This window comes from Homo sapiens, chromosome 7 (assembly GCF_000001405.40).
Source record: "Homo sapiens chromosome 7, GRCh38.p14 Primary Assembly".
Taxonomy (NCBI): Eukaryota; Metazoa; Chordata; class Mammalia; order Primates; family Hominidae; genus Homo; species Homo sapiens.
Window position 1 is genome coordinate 26,737,618 of NC_000007.14, and position 20,948 is coordinate 26,758,565.

The following is a 20,948-nucleotide window of genomic DNA, read 5'->3' on the forward strand; positions in this document are numbered from 1 at the left end:
AAGCTTACATTCAGTGATACTTTTGCCTTTTTCTTCTTAAAGTGTCCTTTCTGGAAATGAACATTATCTATTTTGATACAACCTTTACTTTATAATATTCAACTCCTAGCCTGTTTTCCCCAGAATAAAACAAAACTCAGAAAGCTTACAATCTTTAAATTTCATTATTTGGTGGCTTTATTTGTTCAAATAACAATCTTAAAATTATGTGAACTACAACTGAGAGATTTATTAATTAACAATGAAGTTATAAAATGTATCCTATTATTTCTAAATTAATGTAGTGACAATAGTGGTTGAGAACATGGACTCTAACCATATTCTCTAGGTTAAAATCCCAAATTTGAGCTGGGTACAGCGGTGTGCACCTGTAATCCCAGCTACCTGGGAGACTGAGACAGGAAGATCACTTGAGCCCAGGAGTTTGAGGCTGCAGGGTGTGATGACTACACCTGTGAACAGTCACAGCTCTCCAGCCTAGGCACCGAGACAAGACCCTGTTTCTAAAAACAAAGGAAAAACAAATTCCTAGATCTGCCATTTTCCAACTCTGTGACCTTGAACAAGTCACTTAACCTCTCTGTTCTCAGTTTTCCTAAAAGTCAAATTAATGGTGCTAATAATAGTACTTACAGAGTTGTTGTGAGCTAAACAAGTTAACATAGCTAACGTACTTAGACAAAGTGCTTAGAACGGTGCCCAGTATATAGTAAATTCTATGTACACGTTTGCTGTTATTCCTTAAATCTGTAAAGGGAGCTCAGAAAGGTGCTGTTCGTATTTAATTTTATCTAATTTTATTTTAAAATATTTAAGAAAAATAATCTATTTTCTGCCATTGAAACTCTCACAACCCTATGTTCTTAACTTTTCCAGAAATTCTACAACAGTAGGCTGGATAATAAATATTCCCTAAGGTGAAAGGCCACACAGATTAAAGTTATTTTACTCTCTTTTCTAATTCAATACAACACAATTGTTTTAGCTCTGAGGGTATTCTGGTATTTGGAGCATTTGTCAAATAATGAAATGAATCATAAATTAGTCAGATTATAATTGTTATAATTCTCAGTTATTATTAGTTTGTCTTCAGTTTACTCTGTACTCAAAAGAGGGGGAAGGGATGGCCAAAAATTCTTTTGCAATAGTAGTTGATATAATTGAACACCAACATTACCTTTATCACTTCCATAATAATAGAATACCGTTTTACTGAGAGCACACCACCGTTTCTGCCATTCAAATCCCAGAAAGCTGTGATCTGCAATAAAGAGGGGAAAATGTAAGGCCATTTCCTTACTGTAAAAGAAAAAGTTAATTAATATGATTTCTAAGATTCCTCTGAGCTCTAACATTGTGTGACTAATTTGTATCTTCTTTTCCAAGAGACAAAAAACCAAACAACAACAAACCAACACAGCTAAAGGGAATAAAGTAAAGTAGCTATGGGGCTGCCATACTTATGGGATCAACAGCATGGCTAACAAAGTTTTCTGACAGGGACAGTCAAAAAGGTATCTGACTATACAGTCTTGAGATAATTGATCCATCTGGGTCTCATTTTCTCATCTGTTATAAAAAGAAGGGGAGGAGCTAACCTAGATTATTTCTGTTATCTCTTTCAGTTTTAAAATTCAGCTAAGAAAGCTAAGAAAAGCAAAATGAAATATAAATAGAAAGGCCTAAAGGGACTACAAGAGAGATAAGCAGAATGGTAATGAAAAGACTGTCTGCTTTTCATTTCTCATATTATAAAACCACCTCCATATTTCATTTCCATTAAATATTGGTGTTGAAAGAGTGAGACCATATGGTCAACTCCCAATTATCATAGCCAATGGAGAGGAACACTGAAATGAATAATAGACAATGGCAGACAAAACTCCAGGCTTGATCTGAACCATGGTGCATGCCAGTTTGGGCATAGGAGAACCTGCTGCTCAGCCCATTGAGATACTGGTGAGAAATCCCACCTTTGAGAATACAGTCATGGCCTGCAGCTTTCCTTTGAGAGGCAGGAAACAGCTCCTGAATCATTTACAAATAACCAAGGTTGACAACTAAAAACCTAACCTAATGTTTTCTTATTAAAAATTATTTAAAGCTAAGAGCTATATTTTGTGGTTTGGATAATGTCATCCAGATTTTCTTACAATCTTTAAACTCTTTAATCACCTAAAACGAATACTGCCTCCACATGTATACTACAAACATGTTCTATCTAAGGATGAAATTATTTTTACATTTTTCATTAGAACCTTCAGTTTACCTTTTCTGCGTTTTTCAAGGTAGCCAGCCTTTAGAACAAAAGGAAGGTCTTGTGCTGCAATTGGAGGAAACTGGGCTCCTATGAGAAGTTGGGGAGAGAAAAAAAAAAGCAGTGGGTAATCCATTTCAGAATAAACAAGTGCCAGATCTCATTAGATTCAGTGTGCTTTTAATTACTGAAATTGTTTAAATCTAAGTCTATTAGCTTTGTTTCAGATCCATTCCCTAGATTAATCCCCTCTATTCCTCCTAAAAGTCTCAAAAGTAAAAAAAAAAAAAAAAAAAAAAAAGTTCTGTACTCCTATATGTTATTATAGCCTCCCAAAATACAGGACTGAGAAACTATTATAAATAAATGCAATAAATCCCTGAAAGAGAGGTTAAGAATTTCAAATAAATCATAGCTTCGTTATATTTATATTGAATTAACTCTTTAAAAATTTCAATACATATTGACTCTTTCCTGCATAATCCCTATTCCTACCAAGTAAAACATAAAATGCTTTTCCGAATCAAATGCTGAAACTTGTTTCTCTGAGCCCACAGCAAATATTCTCTGTGTTTGTATTCAGAGAAATGTTATGGACATTCCACTGAGTGAGTATGCTTTAGGTTTTTATAGGGCATTTAAGAGTCTAAAACTAGACAGATCTGATAAAACTATTATAAACAAATACTGGATCCCTAAAAAAAGTTTTTAAATCAAGCAAAAGTTAAGTTGATTAGAAATTGTATATTCACGGTCATGGATTATAGGTTACTCAATTTTACAAGTGTTCAATATTTTTATAAACTTCATTAGAAATATAATAGTTATCTGCCGGGCGCAGTGGCTCACGCTTGTAATCCCAGCACTTTTGGAGGCCGAGGCGGGTGGATCACTTGAGGACAGGAGTTCGAGACCAGCCTGGCCAACACAGTGAAACCTGGTCTCTACTAAAACTACAAAAGAAATTAGCCAGGCATGGTGGCGGGTGCCTGTAATCCCAGCTACTTGGGAGCTGACGCAGGAGAATCACTCGAACCCAGGAGGCAGAGGTTGCAGTGAGCCAAGATCACGCCATTGCAATCCAGCCTGGGAAAAAAAAGAGAAAAAAACGAAAACAGAAAAGAAAAGAAATATAATAGTTATCCTCAGCATTTTACTAGAACTCTAGCAAGTGAAAACAACCAATCAAAAGAAAGTTTGTATGGAATACATCCAGTGGAAATAGTTTCAGTACAACTTAGGATAGAAAATGTGTTTGAGTACAAACATGTAATTAGAATGAATAAGATCTAGTATTTGATAGCACAACAGAGTGACTATAGTCAACAATAATTTATTGTACATTTAAAAATAACTAAGTGGCCGGGTGCAATGGCTCATGCCTACAATCCCAGCACTTTGGGAGGCTAAGGAAGGAGGGTCGCTTGAGCCCAGGAGTTTGACACCAGCTTGGGTAACACAGTGAGACCCCCATCTCTACGAAAAATTTAAAAATAACTGGGTGTAGTGGTATACGCGCCTGCAGTCCCAGCCAGTGGAGGAGGAGGGTAGAGGTGGGGGGAAGGGGGTCTGAGGTGGGAGGATCCCCCAAGAGGTCAAGGCTGCAGTGAGCCATGATTGTGCCACTGCGCTCCAGCCTGGGTAATAGAGTGAGACCCTGTCTCTAAATAAATAAATAAATAAATAAATAAATAAATAAATAAATTAATAAAATGAAATAACTAAACAAATATAATTGGATTCTTTGTAACAGAGAAAGAATAAATGGTTGAGGTGATGGATACCTCATTTATCCTGATGTGATTATCATGCATTGTATGCCTGTATCAAAACATACAATATGCCCATAAATTTGCCTATTGTGTACCCACAAAAATTAAAAATTAAAAAAAAGAATGGGTTTGATAGGAAGTTTATTATTTACAAACTCATCACCTAATTTTACCAGTTTTTTTTTTTAATACCATGGGGATCACAGTAGTGATAAAGTCATGGATATTTTTTCTTAAGAAATAAAGCTTAAAATTAGAGCACTAATTTCAGCTCCTTGGTGGATCAACTTCACCCAGTAAACACCACACAGTATCATTAAAACATATTTAAAATAGAGCCCTGATTTTGAAATGTATATGAAATTTTAGGGAAAGTCAGTGTACATATTTTAATAGCTGTTCAATAAATGTATCCAGTTTTTTTCAAAATAAACTTGGTACATATAAAGGTATAAATTATTTATTATAGGATTTTGTACATAAAACAAAAATTACAAACAGAAATCTTATCTCTGTAAACAAGTCCTGGTGAACCACTAATCTAAAGTGGATAATTGTGGAATGATCTGGTCTCATTAAGGGGTAGTCCCACAACCCTCTCACTTCCATTGGGCATAATAAATGCTCTTTACATAAGGAATGGATGCTCACAAAATCTTAAGAAAAGTTAAATTATTCTGAAAAGAAATGGGTACCTTTAGCATAGCTTTCAACTCTAAAATGTTACTGGTCAAAAAGGAGACAGAGAGAGATGGGAAGAAGGGAGAGGGGAGAGGAAGTGGGGGAAAAGGAAAAGGAGAAGGGAAATTAGAATTTACTAGCGTTCAATATACACATAGCCTGAGTCTTTTGCTTTAAGAAAAGTGTTGACTAAATTTCCACCTGATACATCACAATAAAATTTGATGTCATAAGCAATACTTGTTCTGAATTCTAAATTCATGTTTCTAATATAAAATCTTTGATTTCTTCCCTGGGGAGTGGGGGAGTACATTTTTTTTAACTGAAATTTCATTTTTCTAAACCTTTATTGCTGTTTGTCCAATATCCAGGATTTGCTTAATAGCCATATGAATTCTTTAAAACACAAAAGTACACTAATAGCAATCCCTGTAAACACTTTAGATTTTTAAATTTTCAGAAGAACCATTTGGTTTGTATATCATCATGAGCATATGGACAATACTTTCTGATGGCAGGGATGGAAAATCTGTTATAATATATAAAAAAGTAGTAATTTCCTTTTAAAAAAATATGAATTCTCATATCATTTAGACCTCATATCACTATACCTACAACGATTAACGCTATTGACATTTAGGAAGATTTAGATTGGTACAAAGAAACAAGACTATAAAAATACATGCATAATGATACATGAAGAAAAGGAAATTAAGGCTAATGTAAGCCTATCTGCCAGGCAACAACAAAGAGCTGCCACATGTTTGCCATACACCGCAATTACGTTATCTCACTATGGAACAGTCAATTATACAACATTCTGGTGAATTCACAATCACATTCTCAGCTTCACTATTAAAATTCAAACCTTGTCCTAAAAAAAAGTTTTGCACTGGGTCTTAGTCCTTTGCACATAGTAGGCATTCAGTAAACGTTAGCTTTCATTACCTATTACAGTTAAATATTGTTATATGTTACTATAACTGTAACTACTAGTTCAAGTGAATGGATGCTAATGTAAACGTAAGACTATGTTGCTCAGAGAAAGTTAATCAGAAATGAAATACAGGAAAAAGCATGATTCAGCAACTATACAAGTTAAGCATTGTAGCTACTTCTAAAGCAGTTAAAAGATTTCCCTTTACTTAAATGAAAGTGGTTAATGAAAAAAGTATATCCTAAGGGGAGAACAAAAATTAACCCATATGTTAGGGACTAGACTATGCTACAGGAATTTATTATATGGGCTTGCTTAAGTGGCCACAAACTTTCAGTGCCCGAAAAAGTAAGGTATATACTGAGAAAGACTAGTTTTCTTTTTATAAAATGAGTACGTATTTCTTATATGATAAACCTACTTTTCTAAAGCAGCTCAAAATATTAGACATTAAAATCGACACCCTACAAGGACAACTAAGCAAGGAATGGGTCTTCTTCCAGCATGCAATTTGAGAATCTGAAGCATTCAAAATGGTAACAAGGTCACAATGAATTCAAATAAACAAGTATCAAGTGCCTATATTCCCAGCAATTCAGGGAAAAAGGCAATAGTGAAATCCAAATTTCCCTATAGTTAGGTTGATATTTTATTCATAAGGTAACTGATTCTAAAAGATAACTCAAGAATTCTAGAATGTGCCTTAAAGCTTTTGCTTTAAAAACAAATGGTGTATATTGTAGACATAGTACAGCAAGCTTCAAGTATGGATACTAGAATTTCAAAAGCAGAGAAGAGATACAAAGTATACAAATTGATAACAAATTACCTTAAAACTAAGGTATTACCCACTCCTGGTGATTTTATTAAACTATTACTTTATCTTTTTTTTTCTTGAATCTAGGATGAAAAACACTGGAATGTTTAAATGCCTGTAATATACTTAAGAAATAAGTTTTATCTTTTAAAAAGTGTTAACAATTAAAAATAATTATTTCAAAATGAAAAATAGTAGTTACTTCAATTTCAGAGAAAAATATGAAGTCTGTGGTAGGAAGTATCACTTAGTGACATTTCAGGTGTTAGGTTGGTCAGGTCTAAACCCAGTCTTGGCATTAACAGGGTAGACAATTGCATTACTGTATTTAGGACAAAGAAAAGTAGAAAAATGTGTCTAGATCACAGAAGCTTCACTCAGAAGACAAGGCCTAGAACAGCACGCAAGTCCCTTGAGTAGGCAAGGGAATGGGGGTGAGAGAGAGTTAGAGTTGGGGGAGAGAGAGAAAGAGCTAGAGTTGAGGAGAATGGGAGATCTAATGGTCCTTTCTTTTTTATTTAGATTTCTCAAATCTAAATGAACAAATGTTGATTCACAATTTTGTCCAGTATTGGGTGCCTCAATACACTATATTCCAGGGTCTTCCCTAACATTGATGTGTCTCCTAATAGACTCCTCCCTGATACATGTTACACATACACACACACACACAAACACACACACACACTATATCCCAGTCTGATACCTCTTTAAATGCATTAATTTTTCTAAGACAATATAAGACATCATTACCAAAGTGCAATGACTCAGAGACATTTTCAAAATAGACATGTTTTTATTATCATTTTTATTTTTTGATATGCAACTTTGGTGATCAATTTAAATGCTAGACTTCTAAGGAATCCAAAGCCTTATTTTTACTATTTTATCATCAATAATTCATCATATTATTGGCTTCATTACACTAATATGTTCACACTTTTTTGGTTGTTTAATCTAGACTTTATGCAAAATTACGACTAGGTTTCTGAGCTTCACCTTTTGCCCCCTTCAATTTTCCCTTTTCTAGTTGGCATTTATATAGTTTTCAACATGAACACCAAGCTTTCACATAGGGTAATTTTTCCTACCACCTACCCGACTAAAGTTTCCTTTTCCCTTATATTGGAAAAGAAAGGAAAGATACTTTTTAAAAGACTGTTGTTATTCCTAAGAATTTTCACTCTGAGTCAAGATGTTGGTCCATTTAGTCAAATATTCTGTGTCACCACATGATGTGAGTTTTCCCTGAACTCCAAAAAGTAAAGAATAAACTTCTCAACCATACAACCATATCTTTTTTCCTGACAATTCAAATAAATAAAGCATCTACAAGTTTATCTAAACCTTTTAAAATTATTCATTTTCACCTAATAGTTGGGATACTGAGTTCCATAAATTGGCCACCTCCTGGGGGGAGATAGAGCTTCGTTTTATCTCTTCTAAACTCATGTAGTAAACTACCAAAAATGCAGCCCAGGCTGGAGTGCAGTGGCATGATTTTGTTACTGCAGCCTCTGCCTTCTGGGCTCAAGCGATCCTCCCACCTCAGCCTCCTGAGTAGCTGGGATTATAGGTACACAACACCATGCCTGGCTAATTTTTGTATGTTCTGTAGAGGCAAGGTTTCGCCATGTTGCCCAGGCTGATCTCAAATTACTGGGATCAAGTGATCTGCCTGCCTTGGCCTCCCAAAGTGCTGGTATTATAGGCATGAGCCACCATGCCTGGATAATAGACCCATTTTTTAAAAAAAGTATTTACCCACTTAATGATTGCTTTATATTTGAAACATATATTAGGCTTTGATTCTCCAAAAATATTATCTCATTTCATGAAGGTGATACTCTCACCTATCCACTAGTGGTTATTTTATTATCTAGATTAGCTTCTCCAGTTCTAGTTCATTTTTCTTAAGAAGTGATAAACAGAATGAACATACATTTTCAGGTGCCAGTATGTCATAATACCGATATAATCCCAATGCACTGTAATTTTGTATAAAGGTGGAGAAATGCTTTCTGTTTTGCTTCCACTATCCTTCCAGTTGAGGTCCACTATCTTAGTGACATTTTTGGTTGAAGGGTACATTTAGTACTTAGCTTTAGGAAATAGTCCATTAAAAAGCCTCTGTTCCCAGAGCTGTGACTGACTCAGAACTCATCATTCCACAAGTGCAGTTTAATTACACTTTACTTTATAATTGCACACATAAACTTAGAAGCTATTTTCCCTGTTTCTAGAAATTATGTAATAGATACAAAGATGCAGGGATGCAGACACTTTGTTTCTTATTCTAATAGGTTTTAAGTATAAAAATTCACTAGCATATCTGCAAAGTAAACAAAGAACCAAAACAAAATAAGACTATGCACCAACAAAGGAGAGAAACCTACACTTAACTTGGATATAAATATTAAATAAAATATTTTAGTGGTGTGGCACATATCCAGAAGCTTAGCTGTACATTGATACTGACTTCGAAATCCATGGCACAGGTTAAAGAAGTCTGTAATGTGATCTCAGTTCCATACCTTTTTTTTTTTTTTTTTTTACCTTAAACATGTCACTGAGCCTCTCTGGACTCAATTTCTTCTTTTAAAACCTGAAAAAAATAGGTTCAATCATCTCCAAAGCCCTCCTAATTCCAGGACTTCATGAAATATATCCACACTACTATTTTTCTTGTACTTTCAGTAGCAAATGGCCAAGGTCCAAGATTAGATTGAAGTTTCAATTATATCAAATGTGGAAATTGCTCACAACATATTTTTTGTAGAACAACTAGTAACTTCTTTTACATCTAGCATAGAACTATTTTATGTCATTTAAAAGGTTTAATATTCAGCTAGAACCTTGGCCTGGAATATGTATGAGAGAAATAAATACATAAATTAAATATTTTTCATATTTGAATAATTCTTCCCTCCATGTGGGAAATTTGGAATTTCAAATCTGTTTATCAGTATTTTTAGTAGCAAAAGGAAGATATTATATATTCAACAGGCACCTCAAACAATAATCACTGCCGTAACTCTAAAAGAGGACTAATTGTGTTACTTTAGCATAGTCTTTTCAAAAAGCTTGTTTTCTCATCGTAGCACTATTACTTTCTTCAGAAGAGATTCACCAATGAATATACTAGTACTGGCGATCTCTAAGCCTATTATGATATTTCTTTTAAGAAAAACAAAAACAAAAAAGCTCACACCATGCTTTGACATAAAGATGGTCAACTTTCAATTAGTAGAACCATAGAATTCTCAGGAGGGTTATGCTTTGGGGAAAAGGCTTTAAAAACTGATATAGCAGCCTATGTGACTACACTGGGGAAAAAGCAGAGGTTACAACTCAAGGGTTTAACATCTGCTAATCTCCTCCCTCCTCTGTAAAGTGGCCATTTTGAAGGCTACCAAGCAAAAACGGAATAACCATGAGGATAATTCAAATTTGCCTTTATTAACTCTAAAGGAGTTAGGGTGGAAATTTTCACTATGCCTTCAATAGGTCTATTTAGAACAAAAGAAGACAGTAACTATTAATATCATAGCTACATGCATGTAAGATATGCTCATGAATATAATCCAAAAGATTAAGCATTTGTTCAGAGTCCAATCAAAAGCTTCTATTTTACATCTCTTCCTTCCTCCTCTCCTCTCCTGCTCCTCCCTTCTCTTCTTCTCACCTTCCTTTTCCCCCTCTTCCCTCCCCTCCGCTCCCCTTTCTCCTCCCTCTCCTCTCTTCTCCTCTCCTTTCCCTTTTTTTCTTCCTTCCTTTCTTTCTTGCTGCTACTAATTTCCATAGAAATCTACCAAACTATGAAAAATTCTAATGGCAAGATTCCAGAATAATGAAATCTGAAATCAATTGTGTTCACCAACATCCATTAAAATAATGCTCAAAAAGTCACAGATGAATAGTATATGTGAATTATATGACACGGAGTCCAATTATCCTTCTCCACTCATTTAAAACTGCTTCTTTTACTTTAACATACATTTAAGTATACGACCAGAAACTGAACTATCTTATTACATATCTGAAGACTGCTTCTTTAGATAAATCTTTAATATAGAACTGCTGTCCCTTTCTCATAAAAGTAGATGTGAAAAAAATCTCTTTAAGATTTCTGATTCGTTGGTCTAACAATAAACCACTAGTTATCACATTGTTAAAATATATTAAACTTGTTCCTTATAGAATTTTAAAATATGGTTTTTATCTAAAAATTCTAGAGTTATTAATTTGTGGAAAACCTTATAAGAATCTCTCAATTATTTCCGGGGAAGATAGCATATCAATATACTGAATCAATCATTTAAAAGTAAGGTTTTACTTTAGAGACAAGACTACTAGTTTATATATTTATAATATAGGGCACCCTCTGTGTTTTTCTATTTTAGTAAAGGGATCTTTAGATTCCACATAAAAAATTTAAATCAAATTTTGCCTGCCACATAAAGTAACTCCTCAGCAACTCTTTATCTGCCTATATCTTAGTCATCTGCTCTGTAGCAAGTAAAACATTAAATTCTGAAAAATAATAGCCTTTTTAAAAAGTCTATAATACATACTTTGAGAAAATGAGATGCAAGCTTAAAATGGAATACATTCTCCTTAAGTTAAAAATATAATTCTAAATATATCAAAATGTTCAGACTCTAAATATTATAAAATTAAATATATACAATTATGAACTGGGTTTTAATTTAATGCATCTCTTTCCACAACAAAAGTGCCCCCAAACTGATACTGCATTTTAGAATCACGTTCAAAACCCTGGATTTACATTCAGATTGCAGGATAGCTACCAGCTCTGTGACTTAGCAAGTCACTTGATTTCATTAAGCTTTAGTTTTCAAATCTTTCAATGTAGATAATAGGAGGGCATACTATGGAGAGCTATGGTGGGGATGTAGTAGGATAGCACTTAAGATAACTCTTTAAGAAATGTTGTCTCTTATTACTACTAGTATTTTTAAAAGGCAACTCAAATTTGCCACAAGTCCATTGTTCCATACACATACAAAAAAAGGAGGCTGAAAATATAAACCACTAGAATAAAAACATGAATGTTAAACACCTTTTAACCATACGACTTTCTTTCTGGTTACAGATATTTGGCCAAAAACAAATCTGATGCATAAACACATATTTGACAAGATTATACATAATAAAGATTAGCATAAATGAAAAGGAACGTTCTTAACTCATATATTAAACAATATTTTACTAGTCTATATTATGCGCCAGGCTCTTTTCTAAATATTACCCAAAATAGAAAACTAGGAAACATAAACTCAACTTCACTGAAAATTTGTTGAAGGCATCTTAAAAGTCAAACAATTATGTATAAAATTTAAACAATAACAATAATAGGTCCTCGGCTGGGGGTAGTGATTCACACCTGTAATTCTAGCACTTTGGGAGGCTGAGGCAGAAGGATCACTTGAGGCCAGGTGTTCGAGACAGCCTAGGTAACACAGCAACACCCCATCTCTATAAAAAATGTATTAATTACCCAGGCATGGTAACTCACACCTGTAGTCCTAGCTACTCAGAAGGCAGGAGGATAGTTTGAGTCCAGGAGTTCAAGGCTGCATATGATAGTGCCACTGCACTCCAGCCTGGGTGACAGAGTGAGACCCTGTCTCAAATAATAACAATAATAATAATAATAATAATAATAATAATAATAATAATAGGTCCTACTTCTTTCTTCCTTACCTATGCTATCTCTGTATCAAACACAACTGTTTCTATTATCTCCATACTATAAGCTTAAATATGTTTTTTAAGCACTATCAGTGGCATGATTACAAATAACAGCACTGCAACAGTTAACATTTATTGAGCCTTTACCATGAGTTAGGTAAAGATGATGACACCAGTCATCATCTCATGTCATCATCACATAACCCTAAGAGGTTAAGTATTACTAACTCTATATTACCAATCAGAAATCAAGATAACACACAATAAGTGGAGCAAGGACCTTAAGTCTACTTGCCCAGAAGCCCATTTTCTGAAATGCTATGTTCCACTGCTGATGGAATAAATGAATGCCATCTATAGAAACCGTGTCAGACAACATCACTGAATTACTTTTCTATGGCATTAAAGCAATTACCATTATTTAAGGTTAGTTCCCTAAGTGTAACATGATATATTTTAATATACCATATATACCATATACCTAATATACCTAATAGATATACCTAATATACCATACTTTTTTTTTTTTTTTTGAGATGGAGTCTTGCTCTTTCACCCAGGATGGAGTGCAGTGGCGTGATCTTGGCTCGCTGCAACCTCCAACCACCAGGTTCAACGATTTCCCTGTCTCAGTCTCCCAAGTAGCTGGGATTACAGGCATGCGCTACCATGCCCAACTAATTTTTGTATCTGTAGTAGAGATGGGGTTTCACCATGTTGGCCAGGCTGGTCTCAAACTCCTGACCTCAGCTGATCCACCCACCTTGGCCTCCCAAAGTGCTAGGATTATAGGTGTGAGCCACTGCACACGGCCAATATACCATACATTTAAATTGTGGGGTGTTGTTTCATCTGTAAGATTTTGGGTCAATTTTGCTTCTTAAGAATGTATTTGAAATACTTCCATTTTGGTTTAAAAACACATATACACAAACATGGAACAAATTAGTAATGGGGAAAATGATGTTTATGGAAGGAAAAGGAGGTTCCTTTTGTATGCAGATTCCTCTAGCAAACTGCATAGAAATAAGAAATGAATATAATTTAGATTGAATTCTTTAGCTTCTTTCCACTCAACTATGCTTTATCTTTACATAGGCCATAGGACAATTCTTTCATTGATTTACTTACTTTTGCAACAGCTTTATGTTGTGGATTTTGAGGTATAAATTTTTAAAATTATTTTCAGATTATAAGTAACATTTTTATAATTTGTGATATTCTTTAAACTCATTTTTATTAATTTATTTTTCCTATTCTGTATACAAAAAGTTTAGAGTCATTAATAACATAAGATTATATCTTAAGTATCTGAAATAGGAATATGCAGAGTTATAATGTCTTCTACATTGTACAGTATAATAAAACACGTTTTTGTTTTTGTCTTAAGAAAAATAACAGGTACATAAACAGTTGTCATTCTATTCCCATCTCCCAAAACAACCTTATTATTGAGGGGTGGTTAATATGAATAAATAAACAAGAAAAATAAGTGACAAATGTGTAGTTTGAAAACTATCAGACATGAAATTATTTTATGACTAACTTATTAACAGAAGGTAAATTGCTGAATTAAGGCTCTCACTCTATTTCACAGTCCTACTCTGATTATTTGATTACTAAATTGAGCTTGATTACTAACGCAAATACGTTCCCAAACATTCTTAATGCTTTAGTCTTCATAGGTAAATAGTATACCTGTTTCTATTTAAGAAGGAAACTATCTAATTTTTTATTTAAATCAAGAAGTCTTGGCATTTTCCCTCTTCTGTCATTCAAAGTACCTACTCTGGTTTAAAGTATTATAAGCATCTTCCTAAAAACACATGTGTATGCAATCTTTCTCCCCTCTCTCTTACAGACACACACACCATTTGTTTTCCTTCCACCTAAAACAAGAGGTTTTTCCATAACTCTTTTTTCAATATAGATATGAAATTCATACATTCTTATCTATTATTATTGTTAATTTAGTAATATACTGCCTCCTTCTCCCCCCAAAAAGCATTTCCCAGGCATTTGTACAGATACATTTGGAGAGGCAAATTAAAAGCAAACAGGAGCTATCAGTGTGTATACACACAGGGTGGGAGGGAGGGGGAGGATGGAAGATGGAGAAGAAAGGAAGGGTAAGGAAAGGGAGGAGGCAGAGTGACAAAGCAAATACCTGTATAGAAAAATGTTAATGTTAGGAGAATTGGGGTGAAAGGTATATGGGAACTCTTTGTGTTATTCTCGCAACTTTTCTGTGTCACTATTTCAATATTTTTTAAAATCAAGGCAAAATTAGAAGTCAGGGTGGAACAGAAGACAACTTGGAACTACAAAGTCATTTACACTTGTGAGGAGTGGGCCAAAAATTCACTTATAAGCTTTATAACAACCAACATGAAGCAAGAAATACAATAAATTATATGAGCCATTGCCCATAAGATAAATACATATCATTGTTCAGGGAAGAAAACACAACTATTTCTGGCTCCTGGTACTGAAATGGGAAAGAAATTTCTCCCATGGTTCTCAATGTCCTCAATAACATTTTTACAGTATATAAAATAAAAGTTTCATAGGGCTGTTTTGTATAACATCATTCATATTGAGCCAAAAGCTTAATGCCAAAGTGAAATTCAGTAAAAGCAATTCTACAGAATACAAAACGAGGAGGCCCAAGTATACAGCTAACTCCCAAAAGCTTTGTTAAACTCAAGGATAAGATCATAGAGTATCTATAGGAACAGACACCCTGCACAATTTTCAGACAATCATTCCAAAATCCTGTTTGCCTTGATCAGACTTCTGGTAAATATTAAATCTCAAGAAAAACTCCATTCTCTGCAAGAAGGTAACACAACTCTTTTTATGTTGCTGCTTAAGTCAAGAGCCATATCCTTTAACAAGCAGCCAGGCTGGGGGTAAAATTAATACACTTATTTATCAATTTACAAAGTTTAATGACTTTGCAGGGACATAAACCTGGATGAAGATCATCTTAACACAAAAACAAATCAGCAACTGGCCTATAAAGCTCTAACTCAGTGCCAGGACAATTCCAGCCTGTGAAATTTTAAGCATATACCTACTTTGTATCCACCAAATATCCACAGAACAACATGTTACTGAGAATGATAAAATGCCTGAGTCTACTCTTCAGTATGAACTGGTAATCATATGTACACCTGGGTAACTGAAAGGATTATAAAGCATTGTTATCCATATAACTGAGTAAATTACTAGAGAATTCATACTACAATTTCAATATTAGAACAGTTAATGTGTAGCAGTTTTTCTTCTTACTATGGAAATAAAAGCATACCACATGCTTAATCCTTTTTCTGATACCTAGTTTCAAAGGGGAATAACTGTAAACAGCCATTTGTGAGACTGGCCAGGGAGACAGACATAGACATTCATGTGGTATTTACAGTATCAGGCTAAAATAGTGTGTCACAAGAGTGTCTTTTTCACTGGAATTTGAGCAAGGGGATCATAAGGCAGTGTTCTGAAATTTGAGTGCACATGGAAATCACCAAGGGTACTTCTTTCAAATGTAGAAGTATAATTTTAAACAAAATCATCTATATGGCTCAGAATGGTATATTTAAAAACCTTGTTTTGTGTACAGGATTTGTAAAATATGGTCTAAGCTAACGTTCACTGCAAAATAAAAAAATCAATATACAGATAAAACACAGTTCTGCAATCAGTACACACTGAAAACAGAAGGAAAATCCCCAAAATATAAATGATAGTGCAACTAATGATTTTTATTTATAACTACCTAATTTTGGGGTCATTAAAACAATTTTGTAAACATTTAATACACCTTTCACAGTAGTCTTGAGAGAGAAAGAGAGGCTGTCATAATAAAAAGCAGTACTGAGCAGCCAGTTGCCTGCATGTGTTGGTTCATTCATCAGGCAGTTACCGAGCATCCACTATGTGCCAGGCACTGTGATGGAGCAAGAGGTACAGCTACAGTCCTTGCCTTTGAGAAGCTCATGATTAGGTGCAATTCCCCACTAATAAAGAGATTCAAGAAACCAATGAGGAGACAGAAGAATGAGAAGCAAGATAGCCGTAAGACATGAAGAACAAAGAGGTCATCCTTATATTTATATCCCACCTTAATATCTACTTTCACAATTACTAACACTCCCATTCAGTTCTAAACTTTATAACCACCAACATGAAGAAACATAATAAAAAGGAAGAAAATTGGGACAGAACGTATAATATAAAAAGTGCCTATTTAGCTATGTGATTTTAGCATATTTTTAAAAAAGTAAGCCGGGCACGGTGGCTCATGTCTGTCATTCCAGCACTTTGGGAGGCTGAGGCGAGTGGATCACTTGAGGTCAAGAGTTTGAGACCAACCCAGCCAAGATGGTGAAACCCCTTCTCCACTGAAAATACAAAAATTAGCAGGGCGTGGTGGCGTACACCTGCAATCCCAGCCACTCTGGAGGCTGAGGTGGGAGAATTGCTTGAATACAGGAGGCAGACGTTGCAGCAAGCCAAGATCACACCACAGAACTCCAGTCTGGGCAACACAGTGAGACTCCGTCACACACACACACACACACACAAAAAGTATTCAAGATGTGAAAAAAAAAAAAAAACCCAACTGACAAATATAGAAACTGATATTTACTATAAGCAAGACATCAAAAGGCAATTCATTAATATGTTCACTGTGTGGGCTATCTCACTGCAGGATCTGCCAGAGCTGACATAGCCCAATCGTACATGGTCTCTTTTTCTCCCAACTAAGAGTTGTCATTACCAGAACAATTTCACCAAGAAATTTTAATGATTTAGTTCAAATTAGAAACGTCAAAATTAAACTTTGAAAAAGAAACTGATGGAATATTGAGCAGAACAAAACGATTGCTAACAACACACAACAACTGATGTAACTTCATGTAAACAACCAGTGCTGTTCAGCCACACTTAAACATCACATCAAGAGCAGTTCAGTGCTCCCTCATTTGCCCTGTAAGGCACTGGAAGTTACCTCAGAGGAGGCTAGGGCAATAAAATGGTCTGAACTCTGAATCTGTAGTTTGCTCATAAATATGTGAAATATACAATGACCTCTTGAAAATATGAAAAAGACTTAAAATCCAAAAGATACACATCCCGCTAAAATTCCATATGAATAAATGGCATAACACAAGTTATTCCTAGTCAATTTAGATATGGTAAGATCTTATAATAAGATATCCTATTACATGTTTCTCTAAGAATTCAGCTGTAATTAAATCATGTCTGAATAGACCATGATGTACATTCTCACTGAAAAACAAAATTTACAAATATGTTTTATCTACCTTAATATTGATAACAAGTTATCAATTAAATTAATTCAATTAAGTCCCCTTCACCTGGATAGCTTCAAGTCTCACACAAGACTCATGGTTCTAATGTACTTTTACAAATACAAAAATAATTTTTAAGAATTCCTCAGAGGATGCTGAAATATGGAAATTTAAGACTTAGTCCAATTCTTTCTCACCAACCAAAGAAGTCAGGTATACTGTTATAATTCCATACATGGATAAGAACTGGTACAGTCATTAACTTGTCAAATGATGACTTATTCAAGGTGTATTTATAGGAGAAAACATTTGCATGGATGTCACAATAGATAATGAACTACAAATTAATAAGAAAAAAGTGAACAGGTCAATAGAAAAACAGGTAAAGGATATGAACCCAGTAATTTATGGAATAAGTACAAAGGTTAATAAACATGAAAAGAGATGAGTGTTTATTGATTTGTAGTGTTTCCTGAGCTCTCCCCACCTCCATTAGAATATAAGTTCCAACAGCCCAGAGACCATAACTGTCTTCTCTTCACTGCTGTATCCCTAGGGCCTAGATTAGTGCCTGGGACACAGGAAGTGTTTGTTAAATTTGCTGAATGAACAAACAAATGAATAAACCTCACTAAAAACTACTTTTTAACTTATAGGACTGGCAAAAACTGCAAAGATTAAGAATATCAAACAGGGAGGAGGGCAAGAAGAGATACTCGCATCTCCACTCACCCCGTTTTGGGGAGTATAGCTTAATACAGCTTTGTGGATGAAAATTTGACAATACCCTGATAATTCAACTCCTAAGAATCTACCCTACAAATTAAAATGCTGTTACATGATGGTGTATAAGCCAGAATATTCACTGATATACCATTTGTGACAACAGAAAGATGGAAAATGCCCAGCAAGAGGAACATTATGAAGCCATTCTAAATAATGCTATAGATCTGTGTGTATTAATATGGAAAGATATATACTAATGTAGAAAGATGTCCACGATACTTGGTTGAAAAACACAAGTGGTATACTAATATATAGTGATATACTTTTTTAATACTTTTTGTTAATTTTTTTTATTATACTTTAAGTTCGGGTACAGGTGCACAACGTGCAGGTTTGTTACATATGTAAACATCTGCCATGCTGGTGTGCTGCACCCATTAACTCATCATTTACATTAGGTATATCTCCTAATGCTATCCCTCCCACCTCCTCCCGCCCCACAACAGGTCCCGGTGTGTGATGTTCCCCTTCCTGTGTCCAAGTGTTCTCATTGTTCAATTCTCACCTATGAGTGAGAACATGTGGTGTTTGGTTTTTTGTCCTTGTGATAGTTTGCTGAGAATGATGGTTTCCAGCTTCATCCATGTCCCTACAAAGGACATGAACTCATCCTTTTTTATGGCTGCATAGTATTCCATGGTATATATATGTGCCACATTTTCTTAATCCAGTCTATCATCGATGGACATTTGCATTGGTTCCAAGTCTTTGCTATTGTGAGTAGTGCCGCAATAAACATACACGTGCATGTGTCTTTATAGCAGCATGATTTATAATCCTTTGGGTATATACCCAGTAATGGGATGGCTGAGTCAAATGGTATTTCTAGTTCTAGATCCTTGAGGAATCACCACACTGTCTTCCACAATGGTTGAACTAGTTTACAGTCCCACCAACAGTGTAAAAGTGTTCCTATTTCTCCATATCCTCTCCAGCACCTGTAGTTTCCTGACTTTTTAATGATCACCATTCTAACTGGTGTGAGATGGTATCTCATTGTGGTTTCGATTTGCATTTCTCTGATGGCCAGTGATGATGAGCATTTTTTCACGTGTGTGCTGGCTGCATAAATGTCTTCTTTTGAGAAGTGTCTGTTCATACCCTTCACCCACTTTTTGATGGGGTTGTTTTTTTCTTGTGAATTTGAGTTCTTTGTAAATTCTGGATATTAGCCCTTTGTCGGATGAGCAGATTGCAAAAATTTTCTCCCATTCTGTAGGTTGCCTGTTCACTCTGATGGTAGTTTCTTTTGCTGTGCAGAAGCTCTTGAGTTTAATTAGATCCCATTTGTCAATTTTGTCTTTTGTTGCCATTGCTTTTGGTGTTTTAGACATGAAGTCCTTGCCCATGCCTATGTCCTGAATGGTATTGCCTAGGTTTTCTTCTAGGGTTTTTATGGTTTTAGGTCTAACATTTAAGTCTTTACTCCATCTTGAATTAATTTTTGTACAAGGTGTAAGGAAGGGATCCAGTTTCAGCTTTCTACATATGGCTGGCCAGTTTTCCCAGCACCATTTATTAAATAGGGAATCCTTTCCCCATTTCTTGTTTTTGTCAGGTTTGTCAAAGATCAGACGGTTGCAGATGTGTGGTATTATTTCTGAGCGCTCTGTTCTGTTCCATTGGTCTATATCTCTGTTTTTGGTACCAGTACCATGCTGTTTTGGTTACTGTAGCCTTGTAGTATAGTTTGAAGTCAGGTAGCGTGATGCCTCCAGCTTTGTTCTTTTGGCTTAGGATTGACTTGGCAATGCGGGCTCTTTTTTGGTTCCATATGAACTTTAAAGTAGTTTTTTCCAATTCTGTGAAGAAAGTCATTGGTAGCTTGATGGGGATGGCATTGAATCTATTTTTAAAAATGCCAGTATGGCCATTTTTTGAGATGGAGTCTTGCTCTGTCACCCAGGCTGGAGTGCAGTGGTGCAATCTTGGCTCACTGCAACCTCTGCCTCCCAGGTTCAAGTGATTCTCCTGCTTCAGCTTCCCAAGTAGCTGGGACTACAGGCACGTGCCACCACGCCTGGCTAATTTTTTGTATTTTTAATAGAGACAGGGTTTCACCGTGTTAGCCAGGATGGTCTCGATCTCCTGACCTCATGATCCACCCACCTCGGCCTCCCAAAGTGCTGGGATTACGGGCGTAAGCCACTGCATCCAGCATGATACACTATTTTTTAAAATTTAAGAAATATCTGGTTCCATGTTTTTTCTAGCACATATATGTATTCTTAAAACTCAGGAAAAAAGTCTGGAAGGGCACATAGAACTGTTAGCAGTTCTTACTTCTAGGGAGTGTAGGGAATTTTTTTTTTCCTTTTGCAGAGAGGGAACAACTTCGTTATAAGCATGTACTATACATTTAAAATTTTATATAATACAATTTTTAAAACTGTAAAACAAAAAATAGGCTTTTAAGTAATTTAAGTCGATTTATATTATTAAAATCATAGCCAGAAAAATGCCACCCATTCATCTATAAAATTTAATTTAATCAATACAAGTATAGTTTTATAGTACAATGATACAATTTGAAAACAATATTCCCAATATATATGAAGGTACTACTTTGAGAATGTTCACCTACCTGGCTATTCTTCAAATAGTCCAAGTCTCATGTACCCACACAAGTTTTCACTCTGCTTGAAATGTGCTATTCCCTCACCTT

General features: G+C 35.0%; 1 protein-coding gene across 4 annotated transcripts in view; it reads right to left on the minus strand.

Annotated features, from left to right (window-relative positions):
* Positions 1 to 20,948, minus strand: part of SKAP2 (src kinase associated phosphoprotein 2) — a 209,821-nt gene that overhangs the window by 82,848 nt on the left and 106,025 nt on the right. For 3 of the 4 annotated variants that reach the window (XM_017012771.3, NM_003930.5, NM_001303468.2), the window contains exons 5-6: positions 2,270 to 2,347; positions 1,178 to 1,261 (exon numbers count right to left, since the gene is read on the minus strand). In XM_017012771.3, the coding sequence (XP_016868260.1) occupies positions 1,178 to 1,261; positions 2,270 to 2,347 (162 nt within the window). Of the gene's footprint in view, positions 1 to 1,177; positions 1,262 to 2,269; positions 2,348 to 4,724; positions 4,755 to 20,948 lie in introns of those variants that run through there. The other variant, XM_047421010.1, reaches the window with a different exon arrangement.